Source organism: Homo sapiens, chromosome 5, assembly GCF_000001405.40.
Source record: "Homo sapiens chromosome 5, GRCh38.p14 Primary Assembly".
NCBI classification, from domain to species: Eukaryota; Metazoa; Chordata; class Mammalia; order Primates; family Hominidae; genus Homo; species Homo sapiens.
In genome coordinates this window covers 108179471-108196912 of record NC_000005.10, presented here as the reverse complement: position 1 = coordinate 108196912, position 17442 = coordinate 108179471, and the positions used below count along the sequence as shown (strand labels likewise).

Here is a 17442-nt window from a genome sequence, read left to right as displayed (position 1 = left end):
GATAACTTACAGAGGCTCTTAAAAAAAAGTTTTGAATTTTAAGAACAAATATGTAAATAGAGAACTCATTATGCTTCTTGTTCTGAAATGACCTCTAATTGTATGCTATGAGAAAGTAGTTTTTTATTATTTAATGTTTACATATTACTTTATGTTCAAATAGAAGAACTTTAAAAGCATGTAGCCGCAGAGCTGCAGATCCTGCATTTGATGGAGTTAAGAGAATGGAGAACTGATTTCTGGAAACTTAAATAAATAAAGTCATATCTAAAGTTTTGATCCTGATTTCAAATTTACTCATTCAGTTCTAAGCATTTAATAAATGTTTTTAATGCACCTAGTACTGTGTTAAGCACTGGTGACACAAAAGTGAGTAAGACATGGTCCTGACCTGCAGTAGCTTCCTTTTGACTCTAGTGGAAGGAACATATGCTTAAATTAGACCAGATTATAAAGCAGCTTGGTTAACAACATGGTGAAAGAGTGAGCAACATCAGTGGGTGTACAGAGGGCAGAGTCTCCTGCTCTGAATGCTGGCATCCCAGGTAGCTTTACAGAGGACATACACTGGGGCTGAGAAGGCTGAATTATGCTGTTACAGACTAAGGAAATGAATTCTGCCTTGTAACTGCCTCACATGGCCTGGGGGACACTATTGCTATAAGCGTTTTTTTTTTGTTTGTTTTGTTTTGTTTTTTAAAGAATTGGGCTAGGCTGTTTGTGTTCTATTTTATTACTGTGAGATGTATGCCTGCACATTAATTCAATCAATTAATTCAGAATTTATTCACTATAAATTGTAAGACTACTCTTTCTACCTAGCTAACTTAATGAATTTAACACATTTATATATAATTAATACAATTATATATTAAATGTAGAGGCGTAAATGTCATTTATGTGCTGCTGGCTCCTAAATTTATTTGACATCTCTACTTGGTTATCTAGGCATCTCAAGCATAGCATATTCAAAACAAAACTATCTTTTCTGCCTGCCCCCAAATTGTCTTTGTTAGTTGCAACAATATTTTCTGATTGCTCAAACCAAAACTCTTGGAATGGTCCTTGACTCCTCTTTTTCTCTCGTGCCCCATAAGATATTTGTCAAAAAATTCTGTTGATTCTACTTTCAAATACTGTATAGCCAAAATCACTTCATACCACCTCCAACTGCTGTCACAGTGGTCCAAGTCACTGATAACTCTTGACTGGATTAATTCAATATAGCTTCTGTCTGCTTCCACCCTTGGATCTATGTTCTGAATTCAACACAGAAGCTTGGGTGATCATTTCAAAACTAAATTAGAACATAGTACACTCCTGTTCAAAATCCTCCAGAGGTTCCCCAAATTTCTCAGAGCAAAAGCTAAAATCCTTACAGGACCCACAAGACCCTATGTGATCTGTCCTTCTTAGATCTCCTCTTTGACCATGTCTCCTGCTAGTCTTCATTCCATTCACTCTGCTGCAGCACCTTACTCATCTTCCAAAGTGCTGGGACAGTTTCCATCTCAGGGCCTTTGCACTGTCCTAACTCTTGCCCCAGATATCAGCCTGGCTTTGTTTGCTCCTTCATTTCCTTTAAATCTTTGCGCAAATATCATCTTTTCAGTAAGATCATCCTTGACTGCCTGTTTAAAATTACACCCATCTTCCCTCCCTCTCTTTTCCATCCAGCTTGTCTTGCTTTATTTTTCTCTATAGTACTTAACACCTTTTAACATATTTGTTTATTTATTTTATTTATTGCCCCCTCCAACCCCCTAGCTAGGAATATAACCATTCTATGGACTGAGATTTTTGCTTTTTTGTTCTCTGCTGTATTTTTATCAGCTGGAGAAGTTCCTGGTACACAATAGCTGCTTAATCAATAGTTATTGACTACATGAATAATACTTTTTGCATTTTTTAAGTGATTAAAGAGACTAAGCTTTACAAATTATTTTTGTACTTTCAGTAACTGGATTTTTAAAAATCAATTATGCTGCACCAGAGCAGTGGTTACCAGTCCAGGTTGAGATCAACTGGGTATCTTTTTCAGAAATACTGAAGGCTCGCCCTGTTCCAAGACAATTAAATCAAAATCTCTAAGTATGGGGCCTGGCCGTCAATCTTCTTTTTTATGTTCGCTGGTTATCCTAACTTGGAGCCAAGGTTAGAGCCAGGTGCTCAGGAAACATTTAAATGAATGTGAATGAATGAATCAAGAGTCACCACAACTGCTACCTCAGAGACTCAGATTAGGCCAAGCATTAAGATTAGATTTCAGATGTTTGTGATGAGAGATTGATCCTGAGCAGCACAGTCTAGGAAAGGCTAGAAGGGGAGAAGGAAGCGATCAGGGAAGGGAGGGTGAAGAGATGGAGAAGTCAAAGAGGGCATTCCTAAGTAGTTGTAGCAGGAAGGAAAGATTGTTACCTGGTTCCTTGGCGGCTGTTGCCAATTAATGATTCCCCATTTAAAGAGCATAGATATGTTGGGAACTGCCTAGTTAATAATTTGCATTAAGGCAAGTATATTTCGAAGACTTTTTTTTTTCCTCTCTATATTAATCAAAAAGACTTTGTGGAGAAGATGAGATTTGAACCAGGTAGTGGAATAAGAGGAAGGGAGAGGAGAACAGATACTTCTAAGTTATCAGAATAACATAAGTGAAGTGAGAGCAGTTTTAAAATAATAAGCACAGTTCACCGAGCGTAGTGAGAACAACTTCTCAAAATCTGGGGAAAGAGATCCCAGTTGGCTTAACAGATTTCAGGGAATGGTAGGGATGGACAATGGAGGGCCTTGATAGGGAAGCTCTGGGATTCCTTTTTGCAGCAGAAATATTTTTGTTCCCTAAAGGCTTTGGAGAAGGTGGGAGATTTGATCAAAGTTGTTTCAAGAAGATTAATCTGGCTAGTGATGTGGCAAAAAGGAGTTAGAAGGGACAGCTTTGAGGAGAAGCGGGCCGTAAAATGTCCTAGAAAGCAAAACAGAATGAATAAAATGGAGAATAATGTCAGATCTAGTAGGAGAATGGCAAAACCACACCTTGGATTTGAAAATAATGCAAAGAGACAAAAGCCCAGTGTGATTAAGAAGGCAGTGGGTGAAAGAGAATACATAGAGAAGGTGCCTGAGAATTAAGATCATAGCTACTATTAATTCCAAGACCCTGTAAGTCCTATTTTCATAGTACTAGCAATTGCTGTTGTCTCTGTGAAGCTTTAAGGCTATTTAGAGCCTTTCAGTTCTACCCTCAGATGCTGGGAAGGATTTGCCTGATGTCCAAAATGAATGTGGCTTATTTAGATTTTTATTACATTTTAATACCCTAGCTGAGATTCCAGCCTAGTTAGTCATACCCCTTGTTCCCTCCCTTGTCCAACCAAGTCCTTCTCTAAGTGTAGATAACAGACCTTCTCAAGGATGGAAGTCTTTCTAGGCTTGGGAACAGAAATTCTCCCTGCCCCTTTTCTTTTCATTCCCAGCAGTCTTAGTTTCTTTACTTTTTTTCTACTTTTATACTTCAAGATCTATTGCTACCACCCCTTTCCCTTTCTCCTTGAGTCACTCTCCCTGTCTTTAATAGGAAGCTCTTCCCAGTTTTCTTATAACTGCCTTTCTCTGACCCTTCTCTCTTCCTCTGCCTTTAGGATCTCCCTTGGTCTCCATCTTGACAGCCTGACAGCTGTTTGGCGGATTAGTGTGTCGTGCTAATCTATGCCCAGCAACCCCTTCATCAGCAAGGCAGCCTGTCTTAACCCTTGACTTTGCTCCCTAAACATTACAATTACTTAGAAACCTGGTCCAATAAAGTCAATATGTGCAGTACTGGCAAGAACTAATTTAGGTACTAATTGACATTTGAACATATTTAACTATATAGAAGTTTTCATTATTTTTAAAAATTAACACTTCCAACTTGTGTCACTTAAATTATCCTCAGAGTCCTGAAGTGATAGAACATCCATGCTGCCTTTGCTAAGGTAATGTGAGTCCTCTTTCGTTAATTCATCCACTTCAGTCAGTCTTTACAATTGAGGGTTTTGTTTCATTTTTAACTTTTGTAGGGTCTTAAGAAAATTTGGAAGCCATTTGAGGTCTGGTCTGATCTTTTCTTTTCTTTCTTTCTTTTCTTGCTTTCATCTCGCTCTGTCACCCAGGCTGGAGTGCAGTGGTGCGATCTCGGCTCACTGCAACCTCTGCCTCCTGGGTTCAAGCGATTCACCTGCCTCTGCCTCCTGAGTAGCTGGGATTACAGGTACGCCTGACCATGCCTGGCTAATTTTTGTATTTTTAGTAGAGACAGGGTTTCACCACGTTGGTCAGGCTGGTCTCGAACTCCTGACCCATTTGAGGTCTTTCGATAATCCACCAAGCTTATGTTTCCTAGGTAACATTTTAGTGTCTCATTTTATATTTAAGTACATACATGGCCATACCAATCATTGACTAATTTTAGTCTTTAACATGAATTAATTAGATGTCACTTTTTTTCTAATAAAAGCAGTATTAAACTGAAAGATGATTACCTACATTCTACATTCTGACTTGGGTTTCTGTTAAAATACCTTACTAAATATTTAAAAATTGGAGTGAAACATTTAGATCTTGATTGTAAGGCTTTGCTTATTCAAATCCTCTGTGATTTTTAAAACTCACAACTACCAGTGAATTATAAGGAAAGTAAGTTTAATTAAAATGTCAGTTTCCTAAATGTAATTATCTGTTTGAGACTATGAAGGATTATTTTATGTAGCTTTTTATGAAACACTGGGGGCACCATTATGAAATTCCCATAGTGAAGGAAGGAATGTGATGAATTTGACAGAACTGTTTGTGCAGTTTTGAATAAAAATGCCACATCTCTTAGAAGTGCTAGTTTTGTGTCTTGTAATGATGCTGGTTACTGGGGATTCGTCTCTTGGAACTGCCTTTGGATACTGTCATATTTCAAGTTGAGTTGGCCAAAGTGGTTATAGGGAAGGCCATGTGAATGCAGTGACTGTCAGCTCATGAAAAAAGAAAAGTAAAATACTCTTTAAGGTTGCTGTAGAAGCCTGGAGCATAAGAGCTCAAGTAAACCTGTTTCTTCATGTATACATTTGTGCTCCACTGGAAGAGTGAGAAATGTTTTATTTATGGACAGTACATACAGGCAGTAAGAGTCACAAGTATCCCAGTGTCATCCGTCATCTAGTCTACCTTATTGTGAGGAGTAGGCCTGGATGCAAGCTTTCTAAAAGTTCAAGAGTCAAATAGAACTCAAATTTTAGATATTTTTGGATTTTCACAAGTCTATAAAATAGCTCAGATTTGCCAACATCTCTCTATCAAGTATCTGCAATTTGATAAGTTATCCCAGCCTTGTTGACACTCAGTTATCTTTCCTATGATGAAGGACTGAACTGGCACAAGCAGCTTTATATTTTCTTCTCTACACAATTTTTATTATATGCTCTCACCATCTTCTTGTTGATATGTGATATTTTTATTGTGGTAAAATGTACATAACATAGAATGTGCTATTTTAACCATGTAAAATGTACAGTTTAGTGGCATTAAGTACATTTAAACTGTTGTGATGGAGAGATAACATTACAATGAAGGAAGGCAAGAGATGGGTAAGAATTCACATAGAAACTCTGTGTCAGAAGCTGTGCTAGAACCCCAAATATGCATGTGTAGGAGATATTTATGTAGCTGGATAAAATTTTTGTGACTTCGAATCTTCCTAGAAACTATGGTAAAGGATAAATTGGGAAAATAAAGTCATGCTATATGTGTATTTTGCATGGTTCTATTCAGTAGTTCACATATGCATATAGCTACAAGTAGCAAAATTAATCCTTAATGTTTATAGGTTTAAGAGTCATATGTCAAAGTATTTACAGGCAGCCCTATGGGTCCATTTAATGTAGTTTATTTCTTATTTTCCTGTGATACCAACATGGGGCTGCTGTCAGCACATGAGCCCAGAAAGCTGCCCAGCATCTGCAGTTCTCAAGGGCTGTCTGGTTCTTTTTACATGTTACAGAACAGTATATTTCCAACAGTGATAAAAACTTTTTGGGTGTGGAGATCAAAAACGCCCTATAAAGAAAGCTAGCTGTAAAGACAATGTGGTTTAAAAAAATGGTGATTTTTAGGTAGAAAATAGAAGTGTGGGGGACAGTAATATGAGGATTATCAAATTTAAGAGTGACTCAGATCCTTGACACATACAAATTCATCTTTGCTCAATCAAAAACAAGAGAACTTGACCAGTGAAACCATTTTATCCACCTATCTAGCCCTAATGCAAAATCTTGTGAAAAATAAAACTTTAGGGAACATAAAAAGACAGTTAACCTGTGTTAAGATATATATGGAAGCATGTGACTATTGACAAGTATGAATTGAGTAAAAGCCAGAAGCTGTGCAAGTATTTTCATAAAGTGTTTCCATTAAACCCATCTTCCCATGAGTAAGGGTTGGTTTAAGAAATTTAGGAAGACCTCCCCACTTTCTAGATATCTCTGTCTGTCTCTGTCTCAGACTCTCTGTCTCTCTCTATTTCTCTTTCTTCTGACAAGAGTGGCCACATCAAAACTGACTGTTTTCTAGGAAGTATTTTCTTGGAAGCTGAAGACAAGCCTAGAGGAGAAGACTGAATGGACTAAGCCTCTCACTCTGTGCTTTTGTGAGCATAAGTATCTGAAGAGGGACAGAGAGCTTCAGCATTTAAAGTGGGCAAGGATATTCCCCTTGTCTTGAGTGAAGCCTGGCTTTTCTTCAGCAATACAACGTCACCGCAGCCCTCCTGCATTTGTTTTCTACTGATACACAACAAATTACTACAAGTTTAGCAGCTTAAAACAATGTACATTTATCATCTCACTAGTTCTGTGGGTCAGAAGACCAGACAGACATAGCTTAGCTGTGTCCTCTGCCTGGGGTTTCACAAGGCAATCAAGATCTCAACTGGGGCTGTATTTCTTTCTAAAGCTCAAGTCTTCTTACAAGCTCATGTAGTGGCTTGAAGAATTCAGTTCCTCGTGGTTGTAGAACTAACACCCTTATTTTCTTGCTGGCCCTCAGCCAGTGGCCAATCCCCAGAAGGCTCTCATAGTCTTTTTCACAGCACAGTTGCTTAGTTCTTCAGGACCAAGCAGGATAATTTCTCAGACCTCTAGATCCTTTGTAAGGGCTTAACTGATTATGTCAGGCCCACCTAGGATACTTTCCCTTTTGATTCATTCAGTGTCAACTAATCAGGAACCATAATTATAGCTGCTAAATCTCTTTGCTGTGTAAGGAGAATTTCCATCCTAATCGTGGGTCCTGTCCACACTCAAGGGGGCAGGGATTATGATAGAGCATAGGCCATTGGGATCATCTTAGAATTTTGCCTACCATACCTGTTTATTTTCTCACTGTGTTTCTCTCAGGGTCAGGAGGTGGGGGCAAAGATCCTCTTTGCTCTGCATAGCTGCTTTCAGACTATTATTTTCCGTCCTCTCATGAAAAATAACAACAAAAAAACACTGAGTCTGAGACTTGTGCTTTTTTTCTTACCATTGTCTCTTTCATTTTATTGCCATCCCATCCCATCCCATCCCATCCCATCCCATCCCATCCCATCCCATCCCATCCCATCCTATGAATTCTTCCAGCAACTACATGAGCTTGTAAGAGAACTTCAGCTCTAGAAAGAAATACAGCCCCAGTTGAGATCTTGATTGCCTTGCGAAACCCTAGGCAGAGGACACAGCTAAGCCATGTCTGGTCTCCTGACCCACAGAACTAGTGAGTTGATAAATGTACATAGCCATCTATCCTTCTGGTGTCTCCTGTTCATAAAAGATGTTGGCCTTCCATTTTGCTCCAAGCCCAGCCATGACTGTGGGTGATTTCAATTTCTGTGCCCACCACATGCAGATCACATATTGGAAAGGAAGAAAGCACAGCAAAGAGCGTTCATATCAGCCCTTTGTTCCCTTAGGTGAATTCTAGTGAGGTCAGAAAAGTTATAGAAACTTATTTGCTATTTATTTTGTATTTTATTTGTCTGTCTTTTTTATGTACCTTTAGATACTTAAAAAAAAAGCTACAATGAGAGGTAAGATATAGGAAACAGGCGCTATGTTTGCAGCAGAACTTTAGAGCCCAAACAGCTCACCTTTGAGCCCTGGGCTTAGTATTGATTATAATTATTTCAGTAAGGTGAACCTTGAGGAAGGGGAAACTGAGGGAGTTGACCAAGGTTCTGACTGGTCAGTTGCCTGAAGCTGCTGAGACAGCCAGAAAGGTCTGTTTTAACAAGAATGAGTCCGTTCCTGTGTGCTTTGGTTGCCAAGTACCAGTTATGTTCTGATGTTGCTAAAACCCTTAACCTGTGGTTATTGAATAGGAACTTTGTAAGAACCCATTTCTTTGCTTGACCTGCCTCTGTTCTGGAGCATCATTTTGCTGAGTCCCATACTAGACTGGACGTGACTTCCTTGAACATCTTACCTGATAAGCCAATTGCAGAGAGCTTTTCCTGAAGCTCTGCCTTTACTAATGCCTACAACCTAGCCCTTAGAAGAAGCTGGTACATACACTTTCTGTCTCAGTTAGAAAGAATTTACCTGCTGTTGTGGACCTTTTTGTGTTTTATCTGTCGCAGCTATCTCTATTTATCTCCATAGTTGGGCAGCATGCTTCAGAGAGCATTGAGTAGTGACTCTATGAACTCTCTCTGTATAGCTTCTCCCATTGGGAGCTGAGGTGGAAAGAGTGTGAGTACTGCCTGGCAATTTACCTCCTACCCTCCCAATGACCATTCTTTTGAGCTGTCCTGTCCACCAACACTGTAGCTGTTAGCCACATGCAGATATAAAAATTAAATACAAATTAATTAAAATTAAATAAAATTAAAAGTTCAGGTCCCCTGTCACACTGGTCACATTTTAGGTGCTCAGTAGGTACAAGTGATTAGTGATTACTATATCAGACAGCAGAAATATAGAACATTTTCATTGGAGATTCAAGTGTCTAGTCTTCTCTTGGAGTTTAAGCTGAACTGACTTAAATTCTCACATGCTTAGCAACTTAAAACAGTACCAGTTTATTATTTCACTATTCTGTAAGTTAGAAGCCTGTCTGACACAGGTCTCACCAGGCTAAATTCAAGGTGTCAGCTGGATTGTGTTTCTGAAGGGAGCATCTGTTTTCTTGCTCACTCCTACAGGTTTTTTGGCAGAATTAAATTCCTTAAGGTTGTAAGTCTGAGGTCCTTATCTCTTCCCGGCTGGCAGCTGAGGGCTGTTTCCAACTCTAAAGCTGCCCATGTTCCTTGACTCCTGGCCCCTTCCTCAATATTTGAAGCTAGTAAAGGTAGCTTGAATCCCTTTCATGATTGAAACATCTCCTGTTATCTTCCATTTCATCTCTCTGGCTTTCTCTGAGTAAGCCTGTGCTTATAAGGGTCTCCAGTGATTACACTGGGACTACTCAGATAACCTGGGATAATCTCCCCATCTTGAGATCCATACCTTTAATCACATCTGCAAAATCCCCTTTGCCTTATAAGGTAACATATTAGAGCATAGGTATCTTTGGTGGGAGGGGTATTTGTGTTATTTGGTCTATCATATGCCTCCAGATTAAGTTTTGCATATTATTAAGCAAAAATAGCTTAATATTTGAAAAGGTAGCTTATTTGAAGAGGATAATTAAGATCCTACCACCTTTATGTAAATATTATCATTAATTTGCTTTAGAGGCTAAACATCAGCGGAAGACAAGAAACTTAAAGAAATAGAAAATGAAAACATGGAGAAGGTGGAACCTGGAGAAATTTTTGCTTCTTAAGCCACATTTTATATCATTTTATGATGAAACACATACCCATAATAGTACAGTTTGGAGTACATTGATAATATATCACCAAGCTATCTCTGAATTAACCATTTAGTCATATTTCATCTTTAAAAAAATAAAAAAATCTATACAGAAATGGCATAATTATGAAGGTAATATCTGAAATTGAACAATGTTAGAATAATCTTCTCAAATTGTAGGTACTTAATGTAATATATTCAATACCTTGCCTACCTATTAGACAATAGATTGCTAACTTGATTTTTAGGATACTTAAGTAAAATCTACTTTCTTTTTTTTTTTTTTCTTTTTTTGATACGCAGTCTCACTCTGTTGCCAGGCTGGAGTGCAGTGATGCGATCTGGGCTCACTGCAACCTCTGCCTCCCGGGTTCAAGAATTCCCCTGCCTCAGCCTCCCAAGTAGCTGGGATTACAGGGATGCACCACTACGCCCAGCTAATTTTTTGTATTTTAGTAGAGATGGGGTTTCACCATGTTGGCCAAGATGGTCTTGATCTCCTTACCTCGTGATCCACCCGCCTCAGCTTCCCAAAGTGCTGGGATTACAGATGTGAGCCACCGCGCCTGGCCAAATCTACTTTCTTTTAATGTTTGTTGCCATTCAGATATTCACCATAGATTTCTATACTACACTCATGCTTAATTTAGTGTATAAAATATTACATATACAATATCTTTAATTAAAAGATTCTAGCCTATCTGTTTTAAATATTTTACAGTGATACTCTACCTTGTAATAAACTACATTTGTAAGTTTTGAGAGTGAATGTAGCATTTACCTTTTTCATCTTTCATTTTATTTATCTCATTAGCTAAGAAACCTTTCCAGCTTGGACCTACGTCATATCACTGAACTGGATAATGAAACCGTGATGGAAATTGTCAAGAGGTGCAAAAATCTTAGCTCTCTCAATCTCTGTCTGAACTGGATCATAAATGACAGGTAACCATTGTAACATGTTAAAAATACTTTTCTAGAGGAAAACATTTAGGAAATATTAATTATTATAACAAGGCATGTCTATAACTAAAATTGAATACAGCTGTGCCTTTTCAAATTGTTATGTTTAAGTTTTGAAAACCATCTAGATCTATACTTTTAATGCATCTGTTGCTTATAAGTGCAGCAAAGTTTTTAGGTGCTTTAATACAAATATTTGCCTCAACAATTGTAACAATAGTAGGCTGTTGAATTTTTTCTTTGTTATCCATCTAAGACATACCTGCTTTTTGCCATGCTTGTAAGTTTGTAATGATATATTATTTGTCACTTTAACATTTTTGCAACATTTGTGGTTGATTTTAATGATTTGGAGAAACCATCTGAAACATTAACATTTAAACCCTTTCTTAAAGGTGACATTTTTTTTTCAGAGATGGAGTCTCACAGTGTTTCCTAGGTACAATTCCTGGGCTCAAGCAATACTTCTGCCTCAGCCTCCCAAGCAGCTGGGACTACAGGCATACACCACTGCGCCTATATTAGCCCATTCTAGCATTACCATAAAGAACTACCTTAGACTGGGTAATTTATAAAGACAAGAGGTTTAATTCACAGTTCTGCAGGCTGTACAGGAAGTATGGCTGGAGAAGCCTCAGGAAACTGACAAGCATGGCAAAAAGCAGATACCTCTTACATGGCTAGAGAAGGAAGGAAAAGAGTGAAGTGGGAGGTACTACACATTTTTAGACATCCAGTTCTTGTGCGAACTCATTATCAGGAGAACAGCAAGGGGTAAATCTGCCCCCATGATCCAATCACCTCCAAACAGGCCCTTCCTCCAACATTGGGATTACAATTTGACATGAGATTTGGCTGGGAACACAAATCCAAACCATATCAGCACCTAAGGATGACATTTTTTTCTCAGTATATATATATGTAATTTGTTTCAGAAATGGAAGTCACGTGATGAATAGCTTAATATACAGTATAGAATCAGAAGTTTTTTCTTACGAATAATGATTAACCCATTTTTCTTTGAAATATTGCAGGAAGGAAGAAAAAAATACAGGAAAACCCTTAAAAGTAGACTATTATAATGAAAACAACAGAGTAGCGCTAGCACTACTGATTAGGTAGATTTGTAAATATGAGCATGAGAGGATTCTTGCCCAGTAAGTTTCCAAGAATTTTGTTTTAAAAGATAAGTTTCCAAAAATATTTTCCTTTCAAAATAGAAAGCACTATTTCAGCTAAAATTAGAACCTGTTTAGATTTAAATATTCTTTTAAAAATAGGAGAAATAATTTGTGTCAGATAATGCTTTAAATTTAAGATATTTTCCCTCTTTTTTTTTTTTTTTTTTTTTGAGACCGAGTCTTGCTTTGGCACCCGGGCTGGAGTGCAGTCAGTGGCATGATCTCTGCTCACTTCAGCCTCCACCTCCTGGGTTCAAGGGATTCTCTTGCCTTAGCCACCCTAGTAACTGGGATTACAAGTGTGCACCACTGGCTGGGCACGGTGGCTCACACTTGTAATCCCAGCACTTTGGGAGGCCAAGGCGGGCGGATCACGAGGTCAGGAGATCCAGACCATCCTGGCTAACATGGTGAAACCCCATCTCTACTAAAAATACAAAAAAATTAGCCAGGCCTTGTGGCAGGTGCCTGTAGTCCCAGCTACTTGGGAGGCTGAGGCAGGAGAATGGCGTGAACCCGGGAGGCAGAGTTTGCAGTGAGCCGAGATCACACCACTACACTCCAGCCTGGGTGATAGAGCAAGACCTCGTCTCAAAAAAACAAAAAAACGAAAAAACAAGTGTGTACCACCACATCCGACTAAGTTTTGTATTTTTAGTAGAGATGGCGTTTCTGTTGGCCAGGCTGGTGTCAAACTACTGGCCTTAAGTGATCCCCCGCCCCGCCGCCTCGATCTCCCAAAGTGCTGGGATTATAGGCATGAGCCATAAGCCACCGTGCCTGGCCTCCCCTTTTTAAATTTCCTTTTATACCTTAAAATAAAACCATGTAGACTCCATTTTCCCCAATTTTGGTAAATTCTAGTGACATTTTCTTAAATTACCCTGAATTACTCTTTATGTGATAGCCTTGACTTCACTCTTTCTTAGTAAAATTTTTCTTGAAAAATGTACTCCTCTAGAATGGGTATGTGATCACCATTTATAAAAATTCTCTCTTGTTTTTGAATAATATTCACCATATGAAATATATCAATATCTAAAGAAAATGGAACTGGAGGTCATTATTCTAAGTGAAGTAACTCAGGAATCAAAAACCAAATACCATATGTCTCACTTACGAGTGGGCGTTGAACTACTGGTGCGCAATGGCATATAGAGTGGTATAATGGACATGGGAACTCCAAGTGAGGAGGCTCGGAGGGGGCGAGGGATAAAAACTGCCTATGGGGTACAATGTGCACTATTCAGGGGATGGGCGCACCAAAATCCTATACCTCACCACTGTAGAATTCATCCATGTAACCAAAACTACTTGTGCCCCTAAAGTTACTGAAATTGAAACATTTAAGAAAAAGAAAATTCAAATAAATTAACTTTCCTGAAAACAAAGTTTACAAAGTAAAATTCTTCTCTATAATCAACATCCTATATAGAAAATTTAAAGTAATCTTTAAAAAGCTATTCATAACAAATAATGAAGTACATAAATACTATCTTGTGGTTTTAAATATCTAACATTAGTTTAATATATTACAGTAAATTTCTTGGTAATGCATTGAATTAAAAGTAGAAAACTGGGCCAGGCGTGGTGGCTCACGCCTGTAAGCCTAGCACTTTGGGAGGCTGAGGCGGGCAGATCACAAGGTCAAGAGATTGAGACCATCCTGGCTAACATGGTGAAACCCCGTCTTTACTAAAAATACAAAAATTAGCTGGGCATGGTGGCACATGCCTGTAATCCCGGCTACTCTGGAGGCTGAGGAAGGAGAATCACTTGAACCTGGGAGGCAGAGGTTGCAGTGAGCCAAGATCACACCATTGTACTCCAGCCTGGGCGACAAGAGCGAAACTCTGTCTCAAAAAAAAAAAAAAAAAAAAAAATAGAAAACTGTTTCTGCAATAAGGTGATTATATTCCACAACAATTTTCTGTATACAGGACATGTGTAGAAGAGTCATTTAATGGGAGATACTATAATTGATAAATAAGATACGGTCTATACTTCGTTGTATGAGTTATCTAAGTAAATATTTTGCTTAGGTTTGTATCATTTAAATACAGATGGGAGAGTGGATTTCTAATCTTCTAGTTCTTTAAATGCTTATTTTGTTGTAGCTGGGTAATTTACAAATGAAAATGTCGAGAGCTCTCACTTTGCCTTTCCTTCCCTTTGTTAGGCTTCATGTACTCAAACCTTGTGCTATTTCAGTCATTTTTTTCCTACTTAACTAATGGTTATTTGGTGTTTGATCCTAAATATATGTATTGTAGAGATTTATTTGCAAGAAATGAAAGTGTATTTTTATGTTTTTAATGGAAAAGTTTGGATTAATTAAGAAAACATGCATTTTAATGAGGTTGAGCAATAGAGTTTTAAAGATCAAGCTCTTTTAGGTTTTAATTACACTACTTGCACTTATCCTGTATACTGTAATAGAAGTTTCAAACATTAAAACCCACTTTGCAGTATCATCTAAATTACTCATCTCATTGTTCTTGCCATGCCATATTACTAAGCTAAGTAATATTTGTAGTTATATTGGTATAAATCTAGAACTTCCCATCAGACTTAATTATAATTTCAGCACTTAGCTGAGATGGGTTAGTAACCTTCCATATAGAGGGCACTGGAATGCACTAATGCGTTTAGCCTATCAATTAATTCTGTTTTACATTCGTTCATTATTATTATCCTCCAGTAAATCAGAAAGCATTTATTAGCCCCCTACTAAATACTTGCTACCGTGTCTCAGACTGTGGGGCACTGAGTTCCTGCTGTTCTCAAAGGTCACTCTCTTTAGGTGACATAAGACTTAATGATAATAGTGAGCCTTGTAAGGATCGAGGGGACGAAAGTAACCTTTATTACTCAGGTAATTGATAGGCACTTTACACGTGTTCTCATTTAATCTCTTCAACGTCTTTTGTTCAGGGGAAGGTCATACTATTTCTATTAAATTTAGACCATTTCTTTGACTTTCTTTGGCTTTTCAGTGGATGTATTTTTCCATCATCATTGCAGTAAAAACTCTAAACAAGAAAAAGTGAATGGCTAATCAGTCAATTTTCCGCGTCATAGCTGGGATTCACATACGATTGACATTTATATATAAAATTCTTAATTTTTTAACTAAGCTCATTATTTTCTCTCATATTGAAAGTATAATGGAACTTTTAGATATTAATTTATATACAATACCTATTACAAAGATTTATCCTGAATGTTGCTAGTTTTAATAAAGGATTTCTCACATTAAGATAAATTTCAGTACTTGTCACAGTCCTTTATATATAACATTTATCGTAGGTTTTAATAATTCTTATCTGTGAACTTTTTAAGTTCAAAATTGTAAAATATGTAGTAATTGAAAGACTTTACTGTTATACTTTATGGTGTCTGTTAGCATTTTCTGGTCCTTGAATTGATCTCTGTGACTAAGACATGCTGCTCTTTATCTTTGTTTTTCCAAAAGCACTTTTTGTGTTTAGAGAGTTAAACAGCATGATATTTTCTTGTATTCAGAAGGATGATCTAGTAGTCATTTGACATTTACCATTGCTTTTGAATACAAATAACATCCAAGTGTTTTATGAAAAGAGGACACTGACTATTTCTATCAGTGATTTAAATTAAACATCTGGTTATTACGTCTCATCCACTCCCTGATTCTAAGTTTATTGAAATTTTTTTGTATTTATATCAGTCTTTATTATTTCACATCCAATTTGGTCTACAACATTTTTATATGTTTGACGCGGAGTCCAGAAGCAGCATGTTTTGGGTGTAACAGCTGATGTGTAAAAAACTGGTCTGAGCATTGTTATAGCAATATACTTATAATGGTTCTTTTATTCTTTTTTTGTTAATAAGAATTAAATAAAATCTAATTGATTTTAATAGATCTTTACAAAAGCTGTTTTCAGTTTTTAAACTATCAAAGGTAATCTCTCCATTTCAATTTTTAATATTGGTCCTGAAAATGAACTTAGTTTATTTAATCCTATGATGTATCAAATCATATATTTGATAATGGGGATTATCAAATATATGAGCCTTTCTTTGACAGTTGACCATGCATGCTCATGAATTAGGAGAACAATATAGAAAAATAATACAAGATAAATAAGATTATCTAACATCCGGTAGCTAAAGTCACAAAGCATAACAAAGGCCAGGGTTGTTGTCAATATCAATTATATTGCCATGATTTGCTGTGTGAATCTTGTATTTATGTAAGGGAAGCTATTGCATCAGTGCACACTCTAAAATTTGGAGAATTTTAAATCTTAGACTGTTATCCAGTTTCTTTCAAGTAAAAAATAAGATCTACAAAATATTGCTATTTTATTTTTTATGTACTAGAGGTTAAAATAGTACCTATAGATATTTCTCTTTTCTTTTTTTTTTTAAAGACGGAGTCATGCTCTGTTGCCCAGGCTGGAGTGCAGTGGCACAATCTCAGACCACTGCAACCTCTGCTTCCCGGGCTCAAGTGATTCTCCTGCCTCAGCCTCCCAAGTAGCTGGGTTTACAGCCCCACCATGTGGGGCTAATTTTTGTGTTTTTAGTAGAGACGGGGTTTCACCATGTTGGCCAGGCTGGTCTAGAACTCCTGACCTCAAGTTATCTGCCTACCTTGGCACCCCAAAGTGCTGGGGTTACAGGTGTGAACCACTGCCCCCAACCAGATATTTCTCTTTAAAAGTAACTTTTAAATAAGACCATTTGAAGTTGCAAACTTCTGGGCCACAGCTGAGTCTAGTCCACAAAGCTGTTTTGTTTGGCATATACAGTATTTAAAAATTTTGAATTAGTTGCCAGCACTTTAAAAATTGGTATAGTTCACATAAATATTCTGAATTCAGGCTTTTGGAAAAGTTGTGGACCCAAGAATACTAGGCCCGCATTTTCTTACGTCAACATTCTTTCCAGGATGATGAATGGACTGTTCTCTTTGGCCCCCTTTCCATTTATCCACTCTTCCCACCAAACTGAATTATCCTTCCTTAAAATTGAGATGCAGAGAATTTTAGATATTTCATATTTAAATCATATGGTTCTTTTTAAATTGAGTCTGGTAAAATATATTAAAAAATAATAGTTCATTAGTCTACCTAAATTAGTTATTTACTATTTCAGGCACTGGCATGTTAGTCAACAGGTGGAAGTTATAGACGGAGACAGAATGCAGCTTAAAATAAGTTAAAACCTTGATTTTCATTGTCTGCCTTCCAAAATAGAGAATGCACTCTTTGTTAGTGTTCAAACAGAGTGCTGTAAAGGAGTTTCCTGAATTATAAGGAGGGTTGGACTAGTTTATTAAAGTCCCTCAAACTCCACACCTATAATTTGAAGTTGCTTATTTTAAAATGAATTCATTGGCAATGTTTAGTGTTTGGTTCATGATTCCTTTGTTTTCAATATTAAGAAAAAATCTTAATACT

General features: G+C 37.3%; 1 protein-coding gene across 7 annotated transcripts in view; it reads left to right on the top strand.

Annotated features, from left to right (window-relative positions):
• The window catches only part of FBXL17 (F-box and leucine rich repeat protein 17), a 523064-nt gene that overhangs the window by 185186 nt on the left and 320436 nt on the right, over positions 1–17442 (top strand). For 6 of the 7 annotated variants that reach the window (NM_001163315.3, XM_005272048.5, XM_011543574.4 and 3 more), the window contains exon 6: positions 10666–10796. In NM_001163315.3, coding sequence (NP_001156787.2) covers positions 10666–10796 — 131 coding nt within the window. Of the gene's footprint in view, positions 1–10665; positions 10797–11848; positions 15906–17442 lie in introns of those variants that run through there. The other variant, XM_011543576.4, reaches the window with a different exon arrangement.